Source organism: Homo sapiens, chromosome 11 (genome assembly GCF_000001405.40).
Source record: "Homo sapiens chromosome 11, GRCh38.p14 Primary Assembly".
Classification (NCBI taxonomy): domain Eukaryota; kingdom Metazoa; phylum Chordata; class Mammalia; order Primates; family Hominidae; genus Homo; species Homo sapiens.
In genome coordinates this window covers 26,697,711-26,724,754 of record NC_000011.10, presented here as the reverse complement: position 1 = coordinate 26,724,754, position 27,044 = coordinate 26,697,711, and the positions used below count along the sequence as shown (strand labels likewise).

General features: G+C 36.3%; 1 protein-coding gene across 7 annotated transcripts in view; it reads left to right on the top strand.

Moving 5' to 3' along the window:
- The first annotated feature begins 1,365 nt into the window (after positions 1-1,365).
- The window catches only part of SLC5A12 (solute carrier family 5 member 12), a 56,370-nt gene continuing 30,691 nt past the window's right edge, over positions 1,366-27,044 (top strand). For 4 of the 7 annotated variants that reach the window (NM_178498.4, XM_047426454.1, XM_006718156.4 and 1 more), the window contains exons 1-7: positions 2,695-3,379; positions 12,049-12,114; positions 13,397-13,448; positions 15,376-15,443; positions 20,808-20,962; positions 21,084-21,224; positions 26,220-26,349. In NM_178498.4, the coding sequence (NP_848593.2) occupies positions 3,041-3,379; positions 12,049-12,114; positions 13,397-13,448; positions 15,376-15,443; positions 20,808-20,962; positions 21,084-21,224; positions 26,220-26,349 (951 nt within the window). In that variant the 5' untranslated portion in view covers positions 2,695-3,040. Of the gene's footprint in view, positions 1,449-2,694; positions 3,380-8,400; positions 8,483-12,048; positions 12,115-13,396; positions 13,449-15,375; positions 15,444-20,807; positions 20,963-21,083; positions 21,225-26,219; positions 26,350-27,044 lie in introns of those variants that run through there. The other 3 variants (XM_011519920.3, XM_017017244.2, XM_006718155.4) reach the window with 3 other exon arrangements.

Here is a 27,044-nt window from a genome sequence, read left to right as displayed (position 1 = left end):
TAAAAAAAAATGAAATAAAAAATAAAAATAGAGCAAAATAATAGCCATTTTATTCTTGTACACCACTCCTACTCCCATTGGCTTTGAGAACAGATGAAGGAAGACACCAATTTAGTGAAAGTCTAGTCTCAAATGACCAAGGCTTGTTCATGTGCATTTTCTTCTCTTTGATCCCAGGCCAAAATAACCATGGTGTGCAGAGTTCACTCTTAGCAACATTGCAACAATGGTGTTTTTTGTTTTGTTTTGTTTTGTTTTGTTTTGTTTTGTTTTGTTTTTAATGCCCCATTTCTTCCAGTTCTTTACCTTTTTCTCTTTTGGTAGCATTTGATATCATCAAACTCTTTCTTTCCCATTACAACTTGTTGCATGCAAATTGCTGAACTATTTTACCTTGCGGAGACTACTAATGTTAGCAATTACAAATTTAACTTGTTAAGCATGTGAGTAATTGAGTAGCAGGACCTTGTTAAGGCCATGTATGAGTAACAGGTGATGGTGTTTATATTCTGACAGGGTCTCAAGCCTTACACTAAATGAGTCAAATACAAATGGCAGTATTCTGTGCACATGAGAGAGGGTAGAGGCGCTACAGGGATTTCTTCAGGTCGAAGAAGCATATTTTCCCTCCTTCTCGCTATATTAACATTTCTGATATAGAAATGTGCCTTCTAATTAATGAGGTCATTGAATGTACTGGGGTTTTTTTTTTTTCACCTGAAAAGTTATGAATTGCTGCTGTGCTTTACAATCTGCATGAACTTTGCATGGAGTGAGTCTTTATGGAATTAAGAAGAGCGTTTGAGGACAACGAATGCTACCAAAGGGAGAAAAGGGTAAATATGTAGAAAATAACTGAAAATTAAATTACTGAATTGATGCTGTGCCTTATAATCAACAAAATGTTGAAAGCAAGGAATACTTTCCTAAGAGGCATAAAGGTTTCTTCATATCCCAGGTATTAACCAATCTGCTCCCTACCACTTCAAAATTCAAGACTAATTGGAGTCATGCAGATAATACTGTTACTACACAAAGTTTAATTAAAACCATCAGTACTCATTAACTCTTTTGTTATAGGTTTCTAGTATGTACCTTTAGAAAGTTATTGATGATAATGTTTTGAACCATTCTTAACCTGACTTATACAAGGGGATTACATGTTTTATAGATTGAATATTAACCATTAGGTAGTGTAAATATTAAACTATAAAGGAGTCAAGTTTCTGAAAGCTAAAAAAGTTCTGATTTTCTGCTGAGATCACAACAAAAACCTCATATATAATTGGAATACTTCATGATACAAATAATTAAAAGCCCAGGTTAAGGTAAATATATTAAAGACCAAGATTTGCAGTAACATTTATCATATCAAATCTCCAAATCTAGTGGAGGAATTTAAACAGAGGACACAGACAGCTCTTGGGAGAGTCTTCATATTTTTATTGGTAACTAAAAGCATACTTTAGCTATCTAATTAAACCTTTCTTTGGTCTAATTCAAATTCATGAAGCAAAGATTTATTCAGTTATCCAGATGTGAAAAGCAAAATTAGAGCGTTTTTTGTTTTATTGTTTGGCTGGAAATGTTTCTGTCTTTGGGCATTATGGATAATTTTAGTTTTCTCCTTTCTAAAAATTATTTTTTTTATTTTCTACAATGGCTATAATGTATTGGGTATATGGACTAGAGCTTTGCTTCTGTCTTCAAGGAAATGTCATTTGAACAGCTGACAGACTCCTGTAGCCGGTTACATAGAGATTCCCTAAAATAGGCAAGATGATGGCTGAGTACAAAATGAGTACTAGGGAGGCTACGTTCTACAGGAGTTGACGTGGAGAGGCAGAAAAGCTTCACAGAGTAGAGAAAACTCATACTAGATCTTGTAGAATACACAAGCTTTGTAGAGGTGGGGATGGAGAAGGCCACTGAAGAAGGAGGAGAAGCATGAACAAAATTAGAAATTGCACTAGAGGTACTTTGGAACAATTGACAGAGTCTAAAGAGAGCAGAAACAGGAATTTATAACTGGATTGTTACCTTCCTTCTCTAATTTGTCCTGGTCCTAATTCTAACTTAGCCTGTGGGTACAGTGATAGTAACCTGGTGAAAATAAGAGAAAGACAAGATAAAGTTGAAGGCTATAAATAATTTATTAATTAATGGCAAATTGATTTTTCTAGGTCCTAGAATAAAGAAAGAAAAGCTATGATGTTCCAGAGTGCTCTGCTGTAAGCACAGATAATAGCCAATGGGGTACATATTATTACCTTTCATTTTACAGATCAAGACAAAGAGAGTCAGGAAGTTTAAGACTTAAGTCTTTAAAGACCTTGTAAGGTCTTATTATCCCTGTGTTCCAGGTGAAGTTCAGAAATGTTAAATGATTTATGAAATGTTTCATGGCTTTCTCGTGGTTGAGCCAGGACTCGAGCAAAGGTCTCTGAATTCCTAGTCCTTTGCTTCTTTCTCTCCACATCCACTGCCTCAGACAATTGCAGGCACACAGCCTTCACTCTCCCTTCTTCAAGAGGAAGACACTGCTGAGGATTGTGTTTGCATTTTACAGATTCCATCTCACGAATTAAAAATGCTGAGGTGGTAAATTGTTATCAATTCTATGTTTCCCAGAAATGTTTAACCTTAAGTTAAAAAAAATCTAAGAGATAAAACAGCATGTTATCTGGCCAGTCCATTCCACCCCCAGTGGTTATTAATTTCAGAACACATCTGAATTCCTTCTCTGTGGCATATGCTTTAGGAGAGGAGCAGACAGCTCTTAGCTAGGGTCAGATTTCAAATTCTCATCTCTTGGTGCCAATACCACCACCAGATTCTTCTTTGAAGTCAACTTTTGAGATCTTCACTAAGTACACGTTGGTGTCTGAAGATTCACACGAGTGCCTCTGGTAATCATTTTCTTCAGGGAATCACAGTCTCTCCTCTCAGCAAAGCATCCACTGTACTGAACTTTGCTTTTGGAAACATCTTCTTCCTGAGACCTCGTTGAAAGAAACTCTCTGGTGTCATACTTTCCAATATGGAGGTGAAGAACTTTGCAGTTTGGGATTATGTTGTATTTGCAGCCCTCTTTTTCATTTCCTCTGGAATTGGGGTGTTCTTTGCCATTAAGGAGAGAAAAAAGGCAACTTCCCGAGAGTTCCTGGTTGGGGGAAGGCAAATGAGCTTTGGCCCTGTCGGCTTGTCTCTGACAGCCAGCTTCATGTCAGCTGTCACGGTCCTGGGGACCCCTTCTGAAGTCTACCGCTTTGGGGCATCCTTCCTAGTCTTCTTCATTGCTTACCTATTTGTCATCCTCTTAACATCAGAGCTCTTTCTCCCTGTGTTCTACAGATCTGGTATCACCAGCACTTATGAGGTAAGATGATTTCTCCATTCTTCTCTAATTTTTTTTTCTCATCCTCTTGATGATAGCACCTGGTAGTTGAAGAACACTCACTGATTTTCAGGATAATTACACATTATGAGAAAGACATTAAAATGTTTTTGTAAAAAGCCTAAGCTTTGGAGACAGACATATCTATTTTCCCATCTGTAGAAGGAAAATAATGATGACAATCCCACAGGGCTATTTTAATGATCAAATGAGAACCTCTATGTGAGCACTTAATGTATGGCCTCATTTGTAGGAGGTTTGCAATAAAGAGGGCTGATGTTATTTTTTATTATTGTGAACGTCATCATTCTGAAAAGCAAACAGAACATTTCTCATGAGTACGGCAATTTTCCAGCTAAGAAAACTGAGATACAGATAAATGACTTAGTTAAGATTTTTGAATAGTAAAGTGACCTGAGAACCTAATTTTTTCTGTATCTCTACTTAGTGGCCTTTCCGTCAGAGAGTAGAGGGCATTTTAATACAAATTATAATAAGACTAATTTTTAATGAGGAAATGGAAACATTTTTGAAAAGTACAAAACATTTTAACGAAAGGAATTGCTAAATAATACAAATATGGGAATTATTTAATGTGAGGGAAATGAGGCAGTGGTGTTTTGGCTTTACAATGATTCTCAATGAAGACATCATGTTCAAAATTGAATTTGCATGCTCTATATAGAAATGTGATCAAACATAAGTTTCTATTAATAAGGTATTTATTTTCATTATCCAATATCATTCCTAAAGTCACTGCAGGAGACTGAAAAGAGACCTATTTTTTTTTAAATATGTAAGCTATATGAGTATAAAACATTATTCTAGCCTTCAAAAGTCACTCAGGCAAATGAACACTTTTTAGGAAGTCTTAAAAAGTGTTATTGATTCCATAGTTTTATGTAATGTAATTTTTATGACTATTCACTCAGTAAATACTCATTAAGCATCTACTCTTAAGATACTTAAAAAGGCACTCTTCTTTTTTTCCATGTATTTATTTACTTATTTATTTATTTATTTATTTATTTATGAGATGGGGCTTTTGCTATGTTTCCCAGGCCGTTCTCAAACTCCTGGGCTCAAGTGATTCTCCTGAATCAACCTCCCAAGTAGCTGGGACTACAGAAGTTTGCCACCACACCCAGCTTGTTCTAGGCATTCTCGTAGCCCTAGGCATAAAGCATTGCACCAAGTTCCTGCTGTCATGGAGCTTACTTCATAGCAGAGAAGGGCAGTCAATAAACATATACTGTGTAAGAAAATCATAATACAAATATATATGGTATTTAACTATGTGCTAAGTACTTCTCTAAGTTCCTTATGTGTGTTAAGTCTTTTGGCCTTAAAACAATCTTTTTTAGACAGGTACTGTCACCTCCTTTTAACAGACTAGAAAACTGAGGCATATAGAATTAAGTAACTTGCTAAGTGACATAAAGCTAGCAAGTAACAGTTTTTCAAACCAGGCAGTCTAACTTTAGATATCATATGCTAAATAACTATGCTGTCCTGTCCTACAAAAACAAATGGAGAAAAAGTAAAGTAAATAGGATGAGATAGAGAGGAGGAATGCTGGTATGAGTAGAGAATGTCCATATTCATAGAGGGTGATCATATGAAACTTCAAGTAAAATAAGACGTCTAAATGGAGACTGGAAGAAAGCAAATAATTGCACCAGACAAGGGAAGTGCATCTCAGGCTGAAGTAGTCACAGATGCAAAGGCCCTAGAAAAGGAGTGTGACTGGCATGTTGAAGGACAGCAAAGAAATCAGTGTGCTTGGAGAGGAGAGAGCAAAGGGGACAATGGTAAAAGATAAGATCAAAGAGATGGGAGTGCCCAGTTATATACAGCAGGGGTCTCAGTGGAGCTAGTGCCACACAGAGGGAGCACTTGGGATATTTGTAGGATATTTGGTTGTCACAATGATTAGGAGTCACTACTGATGTTTAGGGAGTTGAGGGCAGAGACATCAGATGTCTTTCAGTGTGTAAAGGCACATATACAATGAGTAATTTCACTCTGCACTGCATGATATTTTAATGCCGTAATGCTCAAAAACTACTGCACATATTAGTATTACCTTAGTGCACAGTAACTTTACAATAAAAAGTTATACACACACTATAAATTAGCACATTTTCCAGAAATTAAATGAAATAAAAACACTGTCTTAAAATTATTGAACAATTTACTTACTTTGAACAATCTGTCTATTCCATATGTGCTGCTCATTACATGCTTAGCCATAACTGGTTTTAGTAAAATGGCCTAGTTACTGCAAAAACAACTAAACCAATTGCAATTATGTAACTGAGGAGATTTGATTCTCTTTTTAAATTAATAAATTAGTACAAGTATTGAAAATATAAGGACTTCATTGAATTTAATTTACTAAATTGTTTTTAAAATATTTACTATTTTTGCCTCTACATATTTTCAACTTTTTAGTGACCTAATAGTAAGTAATCCAGAGTGTGTAAAGTAGATATAAGGTTATTTTGGGATTACCTCTTGCTTTATAAAAATTGGCATTATGGCATGCAAGTTAAAAGTATGGACTCTAGGCCAGGCGTGGTGGCTCACGTCTGTAATCCCAGCATTTTGGGAGGCTGAGTTGGGTGGATCACCTGAGGTCAGGAGTTCGAGACCAGCCTGGCCAACATGGAGAAACTCCATCTCTACTAAACAACACACACACACACACACACACACACACACACACACACACACAAAATTAGCCAGGCATGGTGGCGCACATGTAATCCCAGCTACTCGAGAGGCTGAGGCACGAGAATCACTTGAACCTGGGAGGTTGCAGTGAACTGCCGAGATCCACTGCACTCCAACCTGGGCAACAGAGTGAGACTCTGTCTTTAAAAAAATAAAATAAAAAAGACTATGGACTCTAAAGTCTGTTGACTTGGCTTTCAGTGTCAGCTCTGCCACTTGCTAGCTGCATGACCTTGGCGTAAATTACTTAACTTTTATATACCTGGTTTTCACATGTGTAAAATAGTGGTAATAAAAACATCTATCTCAAAGGATGTCTGTGAGGAGTAAATGATTTATTGTATACAAATACTTTTAACAGAGCCTGGCAAATAGTAAATACTATGTAAGAGTGTTGCATTATTATGATCATTGTTGTTGCTATCTTCAAATTTATACCACTTAATCTGTCTATAGTATCTGGAGTTTCTGTTTCTTTCTTCAGCCTCCATTCTCTAGTAGTTATTGAAAGGTATGCTTTCTAGGGTCTTTTTAAATACTAAAGACTGAAAGAGGTGGAGTCTCTTTATCCACCCTGTGAACTTTGGCCAGTTTTGTGACTTGCTTTGACCAGCAGAATGTAGCCAAAGTGATGTTCTGTGAGCTTGGAGCCTAGGCCTTCTGAGCCTTGTAGCTTCTGCCTTTGTCCTCTTGGAATGCTGCCCTGATACTGCTATGTAAGGAAGGTGGCATAGCTGATCTAGCTTCAGGAGCAGCAGTGGACACATAGAGAACAGAGACACCTAGCCAACAGCCAATACAAGTTACCAGACCTGTGAGTGAGGCCATGTCAGACCTCTCTCCATTGATCTTCCAAGTTACTGAAGCTACATGAAAGTCCTGATGAAACCAGAGAGATCACCCAGCCTGACCTCAGAGTTATGAGAAATAATAAATTTTTGGTTTTTGAGCCAATGAGTTTGGAGGCGAGTGTTATATAGCAATAGCCAACTGATTTAAATGCCTTGATATGCAGTGGGATTTCAAGACTAAGATATGCCATCTGTGCTACTTTATCACTACCCTGTCACAAGTCAATGTATAGGGAATTCTTCTCACCCTCAAGTGATAATTTAGGCTTAGCTAGTTTGCAATATCATATATTTTCATTATCTCAATTGTACAGTTTGTTATTAGTCTCATAATATTATCTTCACTTTAAAGTTATTTCCTTCCTTCTCTTATCATACACTCATAAATCTAGTTTGCTATTATTTACCTAATTTAATATTGGCTTATAGGCCAATGTCTACCTGTTCTCTCATATTTCTTGGACTTCTTGGCTTCTGAACTACTTACTTCTCTTCAATTTCAAATTTTCTTTATGATAATGCCCGGGCTACTATTTCACTGTGTTTTCTTGTACAGTGGTTTCTGAGCATTTATACATTACATACTTTTTTTAGGTAAATGCTTTCCTTTTAGTTCTCCTTCAAATAACAGTGGTGGTATTGTTAGTAATTATATTTATATTTTGAGAAATTCAATGTTTATCTATAAGATATTATTGAATACTATTTCAGCAGAGTGAACGGTGCTATATAATATTTGTTGTAAAAGAGATATTTAGGGTCTGAACCAACGTTATGGGGCCTTTTAGGTCATCATAGGGATTAGCTTTTACTCTAGAAATGATGGGTCATTACAGTGTTTGGGAAGGGAAGTGACATGATGGGATTTGTATGTTAAGAGGATTACTCTAGCTAGATATTAAGAATAATTTTAGGGCTTTTACTGCTGAAGCGGGGAGGTAATTGGGAGTTTCCTTACATAATCTGAGCAAGAGATGATAGTAATAGGGTTGTAAGAGAGGATGAATGCAAGTAAATATGTTTTGAAAGTGGGGGGCAAGCACCCAGATTTCTTTTATGAATTGGATGTGGGGAGGGAGAGAGAGGAGTAAAGGCTGGCTCTATGTTATTTGGGCTCGAACCAACCTGAAAAGTAGAGTTGGTATTTCCTGAGATGGAAAAGAGTATGGCTGGATCAAGTTTGGGGTTCTGAAAATAATCCATCATAATGTTGGTAAATGTCACCTCAGGTATTTTTACAAGCAGGCATGAAGCATGCAACTTCTCTGTTGTATTTTTACTTTTGACAATAGGAATAGCTTATATATACACCAAAGGTGACCACTGAATGAATGAGTGAATACATTGAAAGGAAAAGTGGATAAATTCTTTCAGATATAGAATTATGCAGTTGCAGTAGTCTTTCTTCTTTCACAGATGAGAATCCTGAAGCACAGATCACAGAGTGAGATGCCAGCAAATCTCAAACTGGAATTCAAGGAGGCTGATTTCTGATCAGGTCTTTATTCATATAGCTTTTCCCTAGTACTGTCTTTGTAATTTTACTGGGTTGAGTGGAACTTAACTGAAATGCGAAAACCATTGATTTTTTTCAAGATCCCTATAGCAATAGCCTCGTGGCTTTACTGGTTTTCAGGATTCGTTGCCCCTTATGTTTTCCAGACTTCCTTGTGCCACCCAGTACCAAAGCTAATGCTACATATTTTTGGTTTTTGTTACACCTCCCCACTTCTAGTGCCAATCTTTGTATTCATGATTATCTATTGCTATGTAGCATACTACTCCAAAATAAATGTCTCAAAATAACAATTTTAGTTTTTCACAATTCTGCAGATTAACAATTTTGCCTGGCTCAGATGGGCCCCATAAAATTGTGCTGGTCTCACTTGGGACCATCTATGTGACTTCCATAAGGTAGCTAGTTGGCTAGCAGCTTGCTGGCCTAGGGGAATGCAAATGAGACAGCTTGTCCTTGTTACCTTTAGTCTCATCCTCCTGTAGGCTAACCTGAGTTCTTCATGTGATAGAAAAGAGTTCCTCTCAGAAAGAGAACACACCTCATTACAGAAGCATTTTCAAAATTTGTACTTGCAATATATTTACTAGAAATGTCTCTGTCTTAAGTTGCATTCTACTAGAAGCAGATCCTGAAACAAGGATTTGAATGCAAGTTGATTTGGGGGAAGTGATTCTAGTAAGCAGTGATAGACAAGTGGCAACGTGAAACAGAAGAAAAAGATGCCAATTAAAAATGTAATTTTGAGCAGGTTACCACTGTGAACAACTGGGGTTCAATCCAACTGGGGATCTCTAAGAGACAATATAAAGTGCGTCTCAGGGTTGTCCTCACTGAAAGGCAAAAAGCCAGGGTATTTTGTTCCAACCCCATTTAGTAATTGGCTGAGTGCCAATGATAACACCCTCAAGCCTTCTGATCTGCCCTATGGCCCTGTGCAAAGGCTCAGAACACTCTCAAGCAGATAATCTCAGGCACATTTAGATGCCATCAACATGTACTGGAACAGGGAATGCCAATAAACTATGGGTGTTGCACCCTCAGAGACCACAGCAGTCATTAAATCCTACTATAGCCCTAGCTCTGTACCTGGCATTATCATACTTCCCACCATCTGATCCATACAACATCCACTTTCAGAAGAGAAAATCATGGCTTAGTGGCAGAAAATAGTCTTCCCAAGGGCACAAGATGTGAACCCAAGGTGTCTTCACCACAGACATTTCAGTGTTTTCTACCTTATGATATTTGTGACTGCTGACTCCTCACTGACTTCCCTTCCTCTGTAATATTTTCCTTATGTCTGATGCCCTCATTCACATATTCACCGGACTATACATTCTGGCTCACAGAATATATCATCTGAAGAGAGGACCTGAAAATAAGGTGGTTTTCTACCTCAGGTTTGGGAGAATCTGGCAGGATAAATTGAGAATGTGAGTTAGTATAAAATGGAGTCACAGTTCTGCCAAGAGATGTCCTTTGCTTCAAAGAAGGGCCAATTGTAAGCCATGAAACATTTATCTAATGTTTCTAGGGAAAGGATAAATTGATTGTCAATCCTTGATTTAATCAAAATGATTTTTTTAATTCAGAAAAGAAAGAACTACTATCAAGTAGAAACTACTAGCAAGAAATTTAATCCTCAAGCCAATTGATACTTTAAAATTTTATGGTGTTTATTCAATACATGTTTATTATATACTGAAAGACATATATTAATGTCTTCTAGAATACTTACTGAGAAAAACTTTTCCTAATCTCCAAAACAGTAAATGAGATTCTACTATTTAGGAAGTTCACAGCTACTTTTAGCTCTTGTAGTACATATCACAATTGCAACTTTACTTCCATTAGTATAAATATTTGTTAATGGTCACTTCGTCTAATCTGTAAGATCCTCTATGGTATGGACTATATCATATTTGCTTATCATTTTGTGTCAGAATGCAATATGTAAAGCAGGTAACAAACATTTGTTGAATGAATGAATGTGTAAATGATAAAGATAAAAATGAATAAAATAGAACAGTACTTGTATATTAGGAATAGTAAATATGGTAGGCTGAAAACAGCATACCTTCCCCAGTATATATCCAGGTGTAATCCCTGAGAGCTGTAAATGTTACTTTACATGTTTTTTTTTGTTCGTTTTGAAAGGGATTACTGCAAATGTGATTAAAGGATTTTGAGGTGAGAAAATTGTCTTGGATTATCCAGAGAGGCTCTATATAAATGCAATCAATCACATATATCCTTATATGAGGGAGGTAGTGGGAAATTTGACAGGCAAAAGAAAAGGCAATGTAACTGTAAAGGCAGAAATTGGAGTGATGGAACCAGAAGCTAAGGACTGCCAGCAGCCACTAACAGCAGGAAGGCAGGAAGCTGACTTTTCCTTAAAGCCTCGTGTAGGAGCCTCCTGCTCACACTTTGATTTTGACCCAGTGAAATTGATTTTTAACTTTTGGTTTTCAGTACTGAGAGGTAATAAATTTCTGTTGTTTAAAGACAACAAATTGGTGGCAATTAATTTATACAGTATTAATAACAAACTAATACAGAGAGATAATCAAATTCAACACCAAAATATAAGATAGCAACTGATAACCATGAAAAAGTCTTAATATTAGTGCCATATGAGCTCAGAGGATGAAATATGAGCAGAGCCAGGAATAGCAATTGGGCTGATGCTTTCATCAATGATCTAAGTCTTGAATTTCTCATCTGTGAAAGAAGAAAGACTATTTCAACTGCATAATTCTATATCTGAAAGAATGTATTTACTTTTCCTTCCATCTATTGACAGATGACTAAGACTTTGTGAAATTTGGGGAGAGGGGCTCTTATATTGAGAGTTCTGCCTAAATGAAGGAAAGGTCTGAAAAAGCACAAAATGTGTTAGCTGAATGATAAACAATAATTGTATGTGGAGAATAAATTATGTGAAGGTTAGTGACATAAGAAAGGGAGGGCGTGGATCCGACAATGGAAGGTTTGGAATATCAAGCTTGGGATCTGCACTTTGTTTGTCAATGATAGAGAATTGTTGAAGAATTTGAGAAAAAGAGCAGCATGATCAGAGCTCTGCTTTCAAAGAATTGATATGGGAGATATGTGGTTGATAGGATGAGTGGGCACAGATGGTATTAGGGAGATCAATTGGGGTGCCACAACAGCAATCCAGAAAAGAGAAAATAAAGGATCGAACTAAATTTGGAGCAGCAAAGATATAAAAGGAAACAATGGCTTCAGTGAGTCCACTAGGAAGACTTTTGGGCAGAAAGTCAATAGAGTTGAATTTTTATTGAAACAACCCACTTCTCTTCTCTGATCATCATGAGAAACACGAACAGAAATTGATTTTTAATAGATCTTTGACTTTTAACAATCCATGCTTTTTTATTCCTGTTGCTTCTAAGGATACATATCATAAAATCAGATTACAAGTCCAGAGCACAACAGAGGATATACCAAGATAAAAAGGACTTTCTTAGCAGTTCTTATCTAAACCTCACTGACTCTGCATGTCTTTCTGTTTCCTTTAGTACTTACAACTACGATTCAACAAACCAGTTCGCTATGCTGCCACGGTCATCTACATTGTACAGACGGTAAGTGGTCATGGCTGCTGCAGATGTGGAAACTGTGAGGTTACTAGATATAGGTTTGTTTATTTTGGGGGCAATAAACTCAGCTAAAGGACACTTAATACTAAGAAGACGCTACTTTCTTCCAAAGATAGCACTTTTAATATGTACTAAAAATAACAAACAAATGTATATTGCAAGCCACAAAGGGAAAAAAAGCCGTTTGTGTGTGTGTATAAGCCACCCACATTTTCTTAACACGTATTTCACTGCTGTTTAACCTGCATAAGTTGCTCTAGATTAGATATGAAATGGTCTGATAACTAGGTTTTGCTTTTTTTGTTTTTGTTTTTGTTTTTGTTTTTTTACTTGTTTGCTTTAACCATTAACTGAGTTGAAGCAGAAATACCTATTTTGCAGAAAGTCATTTTAAGACAATATTCCCAGCTAATACTCCTACTTCCCTCTCTTTCTTATGAACTCCTTTCCCACCCCCCCAGCTTTGGGATGTCTTCATGCTGCTCCAAATTTGCCCATGGCACGGCATTGATAGACTTCCTACTACTCACCAAGTACTTTCTCCTAGAAGATAAGCTTCTTCCCTCTTCTTAATCAAAACTCCCACACACTGACTGAAGAATTTAGGCAAGCAAATGGAGGAAAACAATGCTCCTTTACCTGCCCATAGATATTTGCCTTTTAAAACCCTAACATGAATCTCTACATGGTGAAATTCCGAATAGAGACTGGAGAAACTGGACCTATTTCCAGCAGGGTAGTGGTTGCACTTCTGGGAATTAGAAGACATATTCATTATGGAGATCAACCATGTTGTTAGTCTTCCCAGCACAGTACTTTCTCCTCACAGATTCTTTCTATCTCACCTCTAAATTCCATATTTCAGCAAACTGCTAAAATATGCTTCTGTTGCTTAGTAAAGCTCCTCATGAAGTCGGTAGAGAGTTCACTGTGACGCGTGCATCAGGAAAATGGATAGAAGGAAGATGAATCAAAACTTAATTAAGTCTATTTTTGTATCCCTTAGAGATATACAAAATATAACCATAATATCTCAAAATTAGTAGCAATTTTGAAAATCCAACTCTCTTCCTCCATCTAATGATTACATCCCCTCTACAGACTACTGATAGTGGTGAGCAACTTCAAAATTAGAGTCAACAGGAATGCAATGTTTCATGAACAAGTTGAAGAGAATACAAGTCTAACGTCGATAAAGAACTTTCTAGGCAGTTTTCCTTTCTATGTCCCTTTCTCACTGCCAATCTGATTCTTGTTTCTCTACCAGATTCTCTACACAGGAGTGGTGGTGTATGCTCCTGCCCTGGCACTCAATCAAGGTGAGTTATCAGCATTCTCTTGGCATATTTTACCATTTTTATGCCTGAATTCTCACCTTGCAGAATTAGAAATAAAATACTTTGTTGGGGAGATATTCTTCTGGTTAGAGGATTCTGAATTACTATTAGAAGTCATTACATAAAGCTCTAAATATTGATTAAACATTGAAAATAATGCAAACAATTAGTTACTTGGTTTTGACTCATATACTTCTAGATACCAATTTTGATTGCTTTTGTTTGTTTGGGATTTGGTTTTTATTTTTAAATCATTGGAATTATGGCAGTTTCGGTATTGTATATGTTGCTAAGTATGGTCATCTATAATACAGGGACTTCAGTAATCTCATGAAGTAGATAATCTCAGTATAAAAGTTGCTTGTAATAGTTACACTAAAATTTATAGTCTATTATTTCAAAATAATAGAATCCTAAAAACAAAAAGGAAAGAAAAAAAGTCAAAGTAAACTTCACAATGACACCTGCCGTATTGAAAGTCCTCAATATTGCATTTAATTCAGCTATGTGCTTATACTGAGAAATATTAACCTCAGAGTCAGTGAGGTTTAGATAAGAGCTGCCAAGAAAGTCCTTTTTATCTTGATATTCCTCTGAGTTTTGTGCTTTGGACTTGTAATCTGATTTTATGATATATAATCTTAGAAGCAACAGGAATAAAAAAGCATGGATTGTTAGAAGTCAAAGATCACTGGTAATTAGAGAAATGCAAATCAAAACCACAATGAGATACCATCTCATGCCAATTAGAATGGCGGTCATTAAAAAGGTAGGAAACAACAGATGCTGGAGAGGATGTGGAGAAATAGGAATGCTTTTACACTGTTGGTGAGAGTGTAAATTAGTTCAACCATTATGGAAGACAGTGTGGCGATTCCTCAAGGATCTAGAACCCAGCATCCCATTACTGGGTATGCACCCAAAGGATTATAATCATTCTGTTATAAAGACACATGCACACATATGTTTATTGCAGCAGTATTCACAATAGCAAAGACTTGGAACCAACCCAAATGCCCATCAATGATAGACTGGATAAAGAAAATGTGGCACATATACACCATGGATACTATGCAGCCATAAAAATGATGAGTTCATGTCCTTTGTAGGGACATGGATGAAGCTGGAAACCATCATTCTCAGCAAACTATCACAAGGAAAGAAAACCAAACACCACATGTTCTCACTCATAAGTGACAGTTGAACAAAGAGAACACATGGACACAGGGAGGGGAACAGCACACACTGGAGGCCTGTGGGTGGGTAGGGGGCTAGGGGAGGGATAGCCTTAGGAGAAATACCTAATGTGGATGATGGGTTGATGGGTGTAGCAAACCACCATGGCAGGTGTATACCTGTATATGCTAGGTACATTCAATAAAAGGATTGTTTTCCTAGAAAAAAAGTCAAAGATCTATTAAAACTCAATTTTTGTTCATGTTTCTCATGATGGTCAGAGAAGAGAAGTGGGTTGTTTGAATAAAAATTCAAGTCTACTGACTTTCTGCCCAAGAGTCTTCCTAGTGGAACCTCTAAGGCCATTATTTCCTTTTATATCCCTGCTCATGGCTCATGTTTAGGTGATTTCAGAGTACTCAGACTAACTTTGTTGAGAAAAACAGAAACTCAAAAACAAAACATTTGGATCAAAGATTGGAAGCTACAAAATCTTAGGAGGAACAATTTGACTTAACATTACATGAAATGTATGGACTAGATAGAAGTATAAAAATATAATAAAAATAATCTTTCTCGAAGGTGAGAAAATTTAATGAGGGAAAACTCTAATTTGATTTTATTTTTGCCTACAAAGAACACTGATAAAAATATTGTGTCTTTTTCCTCATAAAACTTGCTCTTTTAATTTTTTGAAGGAAACTTCTTTTAATATTTTTTTCTTCTTTCCTAGTGACTGGGTTTGATCTCTGGGGCTCTGTGTTTGCAACAGGAATTGTTTGCACATTCTACTGTACCCTGGTATGTATCTAGCTGTGAAGAAGTATTTAACACTACCTCCTAATATGGGATAAGGGCAAATCTCCAGCAATAGGCATCTAATTATAGCAGAATTCGTTATTCCAAAATTAAGCAGAAGTATGTCGGCTTATCTGTCACAGTTTCCTGAGGAAGGTGCTGTTGTTTAACATTCTTTTCATTACCAACCTTTAGGAGAATTTAATCTCTGCACTCATTCAAGAAAATCATGCCTAATAAGAAAAAAATCTAATGAAAAAGTCTTCTTGATTAGAGAATAGGTGGCCCTATGCTACTTCTGAGAAAAATAGTTTATTCATTCATGGCCCTCATAAACCACAGATGGCACTTATACTTTACACTTTATGCTTCACTGTCTACTGGTTGAGAAATAACAAAATGTACATACAAGTGAGCAGTGATGGCTGCTATTTTATAAACTTGAGGATTTCACAGCTTGTTTTTGTCTTGTATTTCTGGGTAAGCCTGGATTACATTTACCACTTGGCTTTACACATGCTCTGTTTTTAATTAAGGAGCCTGAGTTGTATTGACAGCATGTTTATGTAATTAATACAATTATATATAGTTTAGTTAAACATTCATTGAGCACCTATTGTTTGCCCATTCCCTGCAACTATAATCTTTATTCTTCTGAGTCATTGTACCATGTACAACCTATAATTAACCAGTTAAGCATATGGTAGTGGTTCCCAGACAGTTGAATTATCTTTCCTTCACTATAGATAAAAATAAAAAATTAATATATTTTCATATAGCAGATGATTCATGTATTTTGGTGTTATGTGCATATCACCTAGTCTTTGTAACATCTATTCCAATTATATACAATTTTAAAATAGCCTGATCTTTTTCATACTTGCAAATCCCATTATTTCTTTGCACTTAGTTTTGTCTTCATTTTAAAAAATTACATTCTCATTACCATGATTCTATTCCAGACACTCAACTCTTCCCACCTATGCTAAAAGAATAGACTCTTGCTCCTCTTACCTCTGACCTCATATAATAGATTAGTTGCTCTGAGGTACCTGTCCAGAGAAGATCAGCTAGATGCTGGATATAACAATTTCTAATGCATTGCTTGCCTTGAAAAAGGTATCATAGCTCCCTAAGTAAGTGTTCTCCCCCAAAAACAAAGTAACAAAATAATATAAAACAATTTAAAATATATTAATTATCAGGGCTGATATTTGGAAGGAGTGTTGTGAGTAGGAAGGATGCATGAGGCTGACTTGAAGGCAGGTGGTGATAACAGTACTACTACTATTAAGGTATTGAAATTTGGGTCAGTGAAAATGTAGGGAAACTGAGCTTGGGACTATAACATTAAGCTAGAATCCTTGGGGGGAGCTGGCATGGTTTTACTCCAGTGATGCACTTCAGATTTTGCAAGGAAAAAGTGCAAATCCTCTCTGGAGGAATAATCCAACTGAAGACTATAAGATATTTACACACAGATAAAGATCTAACAATAACTTTAACAAAATATCATAAAAAATACAAAATAGCAATTTACTGTGAGTGAGGATCAGCAAAGCAACAAACAAGATTTAGCCTCTCAAGAACAAAATATTTTGGTATTAAAAGATACTGAATAAGAGAATAGATATGCATAAACAACTGAAATAAATAAAGAATGTAATTTCAAAGATGAGTAAGCATCAGGAATGACTGACCACACAATATAATGATTATGATAAAGAGCAAATGTATTTGAAGAGACAATGAGTATGATGGAAACTCTATCCAAAGAAATAACCTAAAGAATAACAGAGAGACAAGAAGATGAAAAAAGTGAAATAGAAATGGAGACATATGGTGGACAAAATAAGAAGGTCTAATTCATGTCCAGTTGAAGTCTCAGAGGAGAGTATAAATAGAATGGAGGTGAGGTAGTGTTTCAAAAAATTATGGATTCTAATTTTTCAGATATGATAAAATATAAGTATATATAGATTTAGAAAGTGTAACCTTAAAGCAGAAAGAAAAAGAATACGTTTATACCTGGATACATTAGTGAAACTGTAGAACAGCAAATACAAATGGAGGACCTGAAAAAGAGCCAGAGGAAGGAGAAAGAGATACTTAAAGAGGGACACTTAGCAACAACAATGGAAACCAGAAACAGTGGGATAACACATTCAAAGCATTGAGGAAAAAGTATTCCAGACCCAGTCATAATTGTGTTTTTGATAAAACTATCTTTCAGGAGTTGAATGTCAAGAACCAAAGAGAATTTAGCACTTACAGATCTTCCCTAAAGAAAAATCTAGAGGAGATACTGTGGGAAAAAGGGAAAACATTAAAATATGACAGTTTTAAACAGAAAAATTGATAAGAAAATAAAATAGTAAACATTTAATGAGTCTAGTTAAACTATTTTTGGTATGAAATGATAACCATTATTTTATAATTTATATATTATTAAATGTTTTATATTATTGTACAATTTAAAATACAAAATATATCAATAATTATAATTATAATTATATGCCATTTTGAAATTTAGAAAAAAGAATTACCCCCAAACTGTATAAAAATAGAATGTAAATCAGGAAGAGAGTACTCAGACTTAAATGTTTTATCATCCTTGAATTTCTGAGGATTATGGCATTGCTTAAATATTTACTCTACATTTAAAATGCATGGCAAAATTTCAAGGGGACCCATTTAAATAAAATAGTCAAAGTTAAGAAAAATGGAGTTTGAAAAAGCAACCCTCAATTCATCAAAGCAAAAGAAGAAAAGAGAAAAACAAGCATAGCAAAAGTAGGACAAATAGAAACCAAAAAACATGACATCAGAAACATCCAGATATTTTTATAATCACAATAAACTAAAATAAACTACCTTCTAACTGGTTTTGTGCTTCCAGCCTCTTCTTGCTCCCACACCCTGCATACCTCTGTCAGATTAATCTTCTTAAAATATTCATTTCTTCATGCAACTTTACTGATCTAATTCTCTTGTTACTTCCTATTGTTCACAAGATAAATTATAAGCTCCTTAGCCTGGTGTAAAAATCTTTCATTCTATGAATCCAATCTACCCATATAATCTCTGTACCACACCTCTGTTCTTCTCTCTCGTCAAATTAGAGGCTTCACCTTTGCTCATATTGCCGTCTCTTTACTCTGCTAAGCCTGTGGATGTATAAAATATTTAAAATAACCAGTGAAAGAGAAAAGAGAAAGTGTTTGTTGCCATCCAGGGTTCCGTAGTTTAGTAGGGCAAACATTAGACCCCAAACAAGGCAGTTTGATTAAATATGTGGGTGACACACAAGGTACCCTCAGTATTAAAGAAGGTAAGTGTGTGTGTGTGTGTGTGTGTGTGTGTGTGTGTGTGTGTGTGTGTGTGTGTGTATGACAGAGAAAAGAGGTGAGGACTCGCTGTATGAAGGAGTCAGACAGGTCTTCATGGTGGCTATAATCTGCCTTTTGATTAATATCTGATAAAGTGGTTTGTTCTCTTGCCTTATGCCAAGTTTATGCAGATTTCTGCACAACCAATGCCAAGTATCCTCTGAAAACAGAGGCCTTTGACATTTTGTCTTCATAGCACTAAAATCTTACATTGAGATTTGGGTTTTGAAGGCTTAATGGATTTAAGAAAATTAAGCTAGTGCTACCTAGGAGGTAACAGGTAAGAAATTTATTATACCTCAAACCATGTGTGAACAAAATATATAAATACAGTGCCTTTGGCAGGTATTTTAATGTCTATTTTTAAAATTGAATTTCAATTTTAATTAAAAAAGAAGTGATGGGGCAACCCCAATGTCTTCTTTCATCTCAAGATGAAGATGAAGCCTGTCATCTTTTCACTAAAGTTCTTGACACTCTGGAGGAGTAACCAGAGATGATAATTCTGTTTTTCAATGTTAAAAATACCACGTCATTTCATTTTCATAGGGCTCATTCATTTCCCAAGCACTTATTGATATATCACTTCATTTCATCTTTCCCCACTTGCTCATCCCACATAGATCATCATCCTAAGGGCTTCTATACCTGTAATACTACAACAGCCTCTCTTTTTCCTTCCTTCTTCTTGCCCAAATGTTCCCAACTGTAATTCTACACTAGAGTCAACTGGGGAGCTTTCAAAAGATGCTGAGGACCAGGCCCCAATCCAGACCTTAATTAATTCACAACCCTTGGGGATAGGGCTTAAATGTTATTTAATTATTTATTTTTCCTTTTACATTCCTCAAGTGACTCTAAAGGGGAGCTGGGTTTCATAACCACTGCTCTAACCTCTTGCCTAATCATTGTATCCTAAATTTTACTATTAGATTCATCCTCCTGGAACTCTGTTCCACTTACCTCACCATTTGACCATTCTGTAGCTCTTCAAACTCATTCCTCTATGAATGTCTGGAATATACTATTCCTTCCTAGTTCTTTGTTTGATATTCTACCATCTCAGTTTCCCAAAATATATTCCCTGTCACTAATTTTGCAAAGAGTGTTTCTAGTTGTGCAAGCCAGATCCTATTTGTTAGTTTTCATTCCCTTACTTCTTTACCACCTGTATTCAATGAATCCTAAGTTATGTTGATTTTACCTCCAAAACAGTCCATCCACTTCTTTTCATCTCTACCTTACCTCTATCTGTCAATCATATTGGGCATGGACTGCTGAAATAAAATGAGATGGTCTCTCAACTCCTTTTCTTTTCCTGCAGTTGATTCTCCACACAATCACCAATGAAACTGCTGTGAAACAAAATCTCTCATCATATAACTCTTGCTAATGCTTCCTTATTGCTCTTGAGAAAACATTTAAGTGTCCTTATCAAAGTCTGTGTGGTCAGGCCTCTAGCAAGTTCACCCACAGAGCAAATTCCTCTTTGGGTGTTTCACACCTTTGACCAACATCTTCCAGCTTTCTTGTATTCCCTCAGGGAGTTGTGCTTCTTCACACATGCTGGTTCCCGCTTCTGTTTGTCCTCTGTAGTTGGTAAATTCCTACTCATTCTTCAGAAATTAGCTTGAACATCATTTCCTCAAGACCAGGTCAGGGCTCCCTGTTTTATGCTCCTATAGTAACCTGTCTTTCTTAATTGCACTTTCCACATTTTTAAGTAAATCACTATCTTGTTGTCTAACATCTGCTTCTCCCATTAGATTATAAACTTTATAAAGTTAAGGAAGGGGTATGTCTCTTTCACTTTCCATTTTGTTCTCATGCTTAACATGGTACTTGGCACATAAAAGATCCTCAGTGGCTGATGCTGAATAAACAAAAGAATGCATGCATGCATTAGCAGAGAGGCTTTGCAGAGCCAGTACAGTTACAGGGTTTGTTTTCAAGGACTCAAACATTCTCTCTATTTCAGGGAGGATTAAAAGCAGTGGTGTGGACAGATGCATTTCAGATGGTTGTCATGATTGTGGGCTTCTTAACGGTTCTCATTCAAGGATCAACTCATGCTGGGGGATTCCACAATGTATTAGAGCAATCAACAAATGGATCTCGACTACATATATTTGAGTATGTCCAATGCAACTTTTTCATACTTTACAAAGACTTAGCTACATGACCTTATCACCTAAAATAATATCTTAGGCATCAAAGGAATATCTTTGTTCACTCATTTCTCTCTGTCTCATAGCTTTGATGTAGATCCTCTCAGGCGACACACTTTTTGGACTATCACAGTGGGAGGAACTTTTACTTGGCTCGGAATCTATGGGGTCAATCAATCAACTATTCAGCGATGCATCTCTTGCAAAACAGAAAAGCATGCTAAGCTGTAAGTTCTCAGTCAAGAAAAATTTTAATGTTTTATCTTACCTTATTTGGTACTTATTATATATTAATACTTCCTCTTGGGGGGTGTGTGTGTGTGTGTGTGTGTATGTATGTGTGTGTAAGAGAGAGGCAGAGAGACTCACTTAACTCTTTCAACTTTTTGAGCCCAGCATTACTACTGTCATCTCAGCAGGAAGTGGCAGAGGTGGGGTGTGAACTGAAGTCGGTTTGTCTTTTCTCTCAATTATTTGCTGCCTCCATTTATTGAGAAATTACTAGATTAAATTAGGTACTGTGGGTGGCAATGCAAAGGTAAATAGCTCACATTTCTTCCTCACTTGATTTAGCATGTGGTCTTTTCAACTATTATTTTTCTTTTCATGGGTTAAAAGGTAAACTGAGGCACAATTAAATTTTTAAAGAGTTTATTTGAATGAACAGTGATTTATGAATTAGGCAGTTACCAAATAGAAGTAGCTGAAGGCCTCCACTGAGGGAACACAAGGGGAAAAATTATAGATTAGACATGGAAGCAAAGCAAAGCAAGTATTTGATTGGTTACAGCTGTACAGTTGTCTTACTTGGTCTATCCGATTGGAAATTTCTTAGTTAGATATCTCTAAGTTAGTTGGTGGTTTCTGAGTAGTTAGCATTAAGTTTCATTTTTTTCTTTGATATAGGCATTTACCAGAAATAGCCCAAGTTAAGCTTCATTTATATTTGCAAAGGTTAAGCTCACTTAACAGATGTTTGTACTCTTAAAGTTTCCAAGGAGAGGTTAAAAAAATAAGAAAACAGAGGGTAATGTAGCAAGCCACAGTGGAACTCAGCTGCTCTGACTCTTTCCTGGTCTGCTTGTTCTGAAGGATACAAGCAGAGGCACAAGCCTCATGCATTTTCCAAGCCCTGCAAGCCACCCCATGCTCCAAAGTAGAGACCAAAGTTATATACACTTTCACAAAACTGGCAGAAATAAGCCAGAACTGCATCCAAAATGATTCTTCATCTTCAGTGCTGTTTCCCAAGGTTTCAACCTCCCCAGCCTAACCAGGATACTTGAAACTTTTCTTGGAGAAACAGTCACTATGAATGTTTCCCCAGGTGATTTTAAAATGCTTTCAATGCACAGTTTCTTATTTCACTAAATAAAATATAAAATTGCCTGGAAACGATTCAACCATTTTGTAAGTTGAATTCCAAAAGGAGAACTGTAATGTTCTCCTTATATATTTCATAGCTCTCAGAATAAGGAAATAAAAGCATTATCTGGCGTTCCATCAATTCACTGGTAATATACTCAAATCTTATTTCAATAAATAATATTGTAACAAACCCTCCACACATGTGGTCATCTCTTTATCCAATAGCTGTGTCATTGAAAATGCATGTGACTTTGATCCGAAAATTTCATTTAAAATTCTGCTCTAAAATAGATTATAGTTGGCTGTACCTGTAAAGAGAAGAATCCTTTGGTAAAATAAATAATGATTCTTTGTTATATCTAGTTTTTAAAAATATTATGAGTTTATATTATTTTCTGTTGTGAATATGCCTAATTTCTCTATGTTAATACCTGAAAGTTAGGAAATGTGTCTTTTTAATCATTTTTCCCCACAAGACCAAGAACAATGCTTTGTGCTTACTAAACGTTTATCGCTTATTAAACAAAGTAATGCCTCGAGAAGGCCATGCTTGTGTGTATGTATATACACAGGGACACACACAAGTATGGATGGGCATATATATATGTGAGTGTGTATGTGTATACACTTATATACGTATATATAATATATATGTAAATGAAACTTAAGGCTAACTAATCAGAAGCCACCAATGAACTTATTGTTATCTAGTTAGGAAATTTCCAACAAGAAAGGCCAAGTAATAAAATTATATAGCTGTAATCAATCAATATGTGTACACACATACACACACATTTCTGTATATAAATCTTAAAACCTGATTTAGTAAAGTAGTTTAATTCAAGAAAAATGAACACAATCCCATTCCTATAGTTGCCTGGAACTTGGAATTTGTTGTACTAGTATTTAGTGAGTATGAAAGCTGTCAGAAAAGGAGGCATACTCATGAAGACAGAAATGTACATAATTTCCTAACAAATGTACATAATTTTCTAATATTCAGGACTGCCATTCCTGGTTCCACTCATGCCAACTCCCATGAAGGGATTAGGACTGTGATAGTAATTTTGTGAGAATAATGAAAGATGAAAAAATAAAAATTCTCTTTAGAAAAGGGTTCCCTGAGAGAATCTAAGGTGATAGGGTTAATAAAATTCAGGAGAGAGAAATCAGTTCAGATGTTTGGTATAGTTGCAGTGCACAGAGCTGGAGGGGAGATTGCTGTAGTGAGAAAATGGTGAGGGGGGTCCCATCTGTCACACAGCTGGAGCCTTGAGGGCACTCAGGGGCATCTGGAAGCCACTCAGAGCCAGCTGCTGACTGACTGTCACTTAGGAGGCTCTGAAGATGTTGATGAGATGTTCTGCTTTTGTTCCATTATCTGAGAGCCTAATGTAATTAAGACATTCCATGCGGCTTAGAAAAATCTCTGGTACTTGAGGAAAATAAATCCTGCAAAATAGGTAAGTAAAAATAGATCCATAAAGTTCACACTAAAAGTGGGCATGGGTTAGAATCAGGAGTGGCTCATATACATGCATTTGGTTTCATGACCAGAAATGTGATTAGTCACCAAAGACAACTTAATCTAAAGCCAAATCTTCCTTGCACCTAGAAATAGTATCACTTACTGAGACACTTACATGTGCTTCCTGGAAGCTAACTGTGTTTCTAATCCCTTGTTTATCTTTCAGGTCTGCTGGTAGCAAATGGTGCTATGAGGGTAGAAGGAGTTGATGCAGGGTATCACGTCCCATCTCCCAGTTACGATGAGCACATCTACACACAGTTGCATTTCCATTTCCACTTCCTTAGTTTATTTTCCCCATATCTCTATCAGATCTAAAATTATCTGATTTATTTATTTATTTATTTATTTATTTTCAGTGTTCATTACCTGCTTCTAATCCCAAAATGTAATCTCCATGAGGTTGTCTTCTGCATTGCTTCCTGCTATAGCTACAATACCTAGAAGAGGGCCTGGTACAGAGAGTTGCCCAATAAATACTTTCTGAATGGATCAATGAAAAAGCCTATTTTACAAACAGAAGAATTAGCCCTGTATAGAACCCAAGTCCATTTTAAATGAGAAACGAATTCAAAATACAATGACTTTAATATTCTATTTCCACTGGTTTCTCATTTCACATAGTTGACTGATGAACTTATAAGATTGTTCTGGATAATGTATGACTGTCCTCTGTATGGCTATATAACCTCCACATATTTTTACAGAGTATAACTCATTAAATCCTCATAATCCTATAATAAAAAGTAAGGCAGTTATGTTACATTCTTTTTACAGATGATATAACTGACTCAGAGTGTTATGTGATTTGTCTAAAGTCACACAGTTGTTAAGGATAAAGACTTTTAACTCCAGGTCCAATGGTATATTTTAAAAAGAAACAGTGTAAAAAATGCAGTTATGTAGTAAAGAATTTCTACCATTAATTTCTTCAATCATTTCATTATTTCTTACCAAAAAAATAATTTTATATTTGCTATATGCTGGAACTGTTCAGTGCTCTGGGAACACAAAACAATAATACATGAATAAATATAGAATTTCAGATCATAAATACTATAGTGACATAAATAATTATAAGGAGTAGAAACTGACAAGAGAGCAGGAAGTGACTGTTACAAATAAGGATGAGCAGGAAAGTCTCTCTAGCCAGCCAGAGCAAAGGCTTGAATAGAGTTGGCCTGAAGGTTGGAGACAGCAAGAGTACAACTAATGCAATTATCGGTATTGCTCATTTTATGTAGCAATTGTATTCCCAAAGCCCACCAAGAAAAACAAACAAACACATAAAAATCATTGCATTGGCAAAATACTTTCAAGGAAGTAGACTTTGAGATAAAAACTTCTTCTAAACTGTGAGGTGAAAACTCCTCTAAATGGGATAATTATCTGGCGTATTTGCCTTATAAATGTGGACTTTGATTTAAGGGTCTTCTGAAAATCAAGTACACCTGTACGGTATAGGTTTTAGAGGATTTTGAAATAAACGTGTGTCTTTACATTTAAATATGATTCCCTTCAAACAATGACTAGATCTTAGACAATGTTCAGCGTTGCTCTCTTGGCCTCCTGCGGCCATCTCCACAGTGAGGTTGTTTATTCTCTCAGGCCAAGGTAAGGCCAGCCTACTTTCATGTCCTCTCTGGAATTGAGGAAATTAGTAAAATTTTTACTTTCAAAGGACAGTAATGAATACAACATAACCGTAGGATACTACAAAAACACCCAGACTGGAATTAGGCATATCTGTGGGTTTTAAAATAAAATGAATTGCACCACATAGTATGGGTAAGATGATCCTAAGTTTTTTGTACTTTCTGTTGTCTTTTTAAAAAACCAACTCTAACTTTTATCTGCATTAATCTCCAAAGTGAATATTTCCAACACTTATCTATTTCTGTGTTAGCTCATTATCTCTCTGGAAAAAGATGTTAAAAATGTAAGTTGCCTTTTTGACAGTTTTATGAATTGAGTAGGGGGAAAATCACTTGAAGTTATATAATATGAGTGATTGGTATGTGAAATTTCATCCAAGAGAATAGATCTCATACCACACATATCAAGGTTTTGCAAAAACTCTTGATTTCAAAGGAAAATTCACTTAAAATCTTACTTTATTTAAATTTGGTAGTGAGTCTAAAAATGTAATGTTCTCAAGCAAAAAAAAAATAGCAAAAGTATAAAGTGTAGTGATTCTTAAAGGCTATAGAATTTTATTTTACTAGCAAAAAGACCCAAAACCCTTTACCTTGAGTACCTGGTAATGACCTCACCACAGTATGATATGGTATACAGGCTACCAATAGGCCCATGTGCTCTTTTCTAGTGCCTTGTATTTTAACTTGCTGGGTCTCTGGATCATTCTGGTGTGTGCTGTCTTCTCTGGCTTAATCATGTACTCTCACTTTAAAGACTGTGACCCTTGGACTTCTGGCATCATCTCAGCACCAGACCAGGTATGGGTTTTCTTGAGGACAGTGGCGAGTGTCTGGAATGAGCGTGCTTCTAGCTATTGGTGGATAATCTTGGCCTTTCTCTTTTTCTTCCTGGACTGCTCACTATTTCTCAAACCCCAAGAAGTTGGTTTCTTTCTTCTCTTGGGTGATATCAGCACCTACCAGGTTCTAATACAGGGGAATGAGCATGTAAAAAAGAGGGCACCTTGGCCAGGCACGGTGGATCACACCTGTAATCCCAGCACTTTGGGAGGCCGAGGCGGGCAGATCACCTGAGCTCAGGAGTTCGAGACCAGTCTGGCCAACACGGCAAAATATCGTCTCTACTAAAAGTACAAAAATTAGCCAGGCAAGGTGGCGGGCACCTGTAATCCCAGCTACTCAAGAGGCTGAGGCAGGAGAATTGCTTGAACCTAGGAGGCAGAGGTTGCAGTGAGCCAAGATCGTGCCACTGCACTCCAGCCTGGGCGACAAGAGTGAGACTCCGTCTCAAAAAAAAAAAAAAAAAAAAAAGACGGCATCTCACCTTGTTCTTAAAGACAAGGTCTGGCAGCATAGCAAGGCTGGAGAGAGTGGAATGCAGGCTTGAACCATGGCTTTGGATGTCGCTGCTGCCTTTGGACTCTTCCTACAGGTTTCACAGTTGATTAAGGAACCTCAGATTGAAGAAAACGACCCTTATTTCCACAATGCCT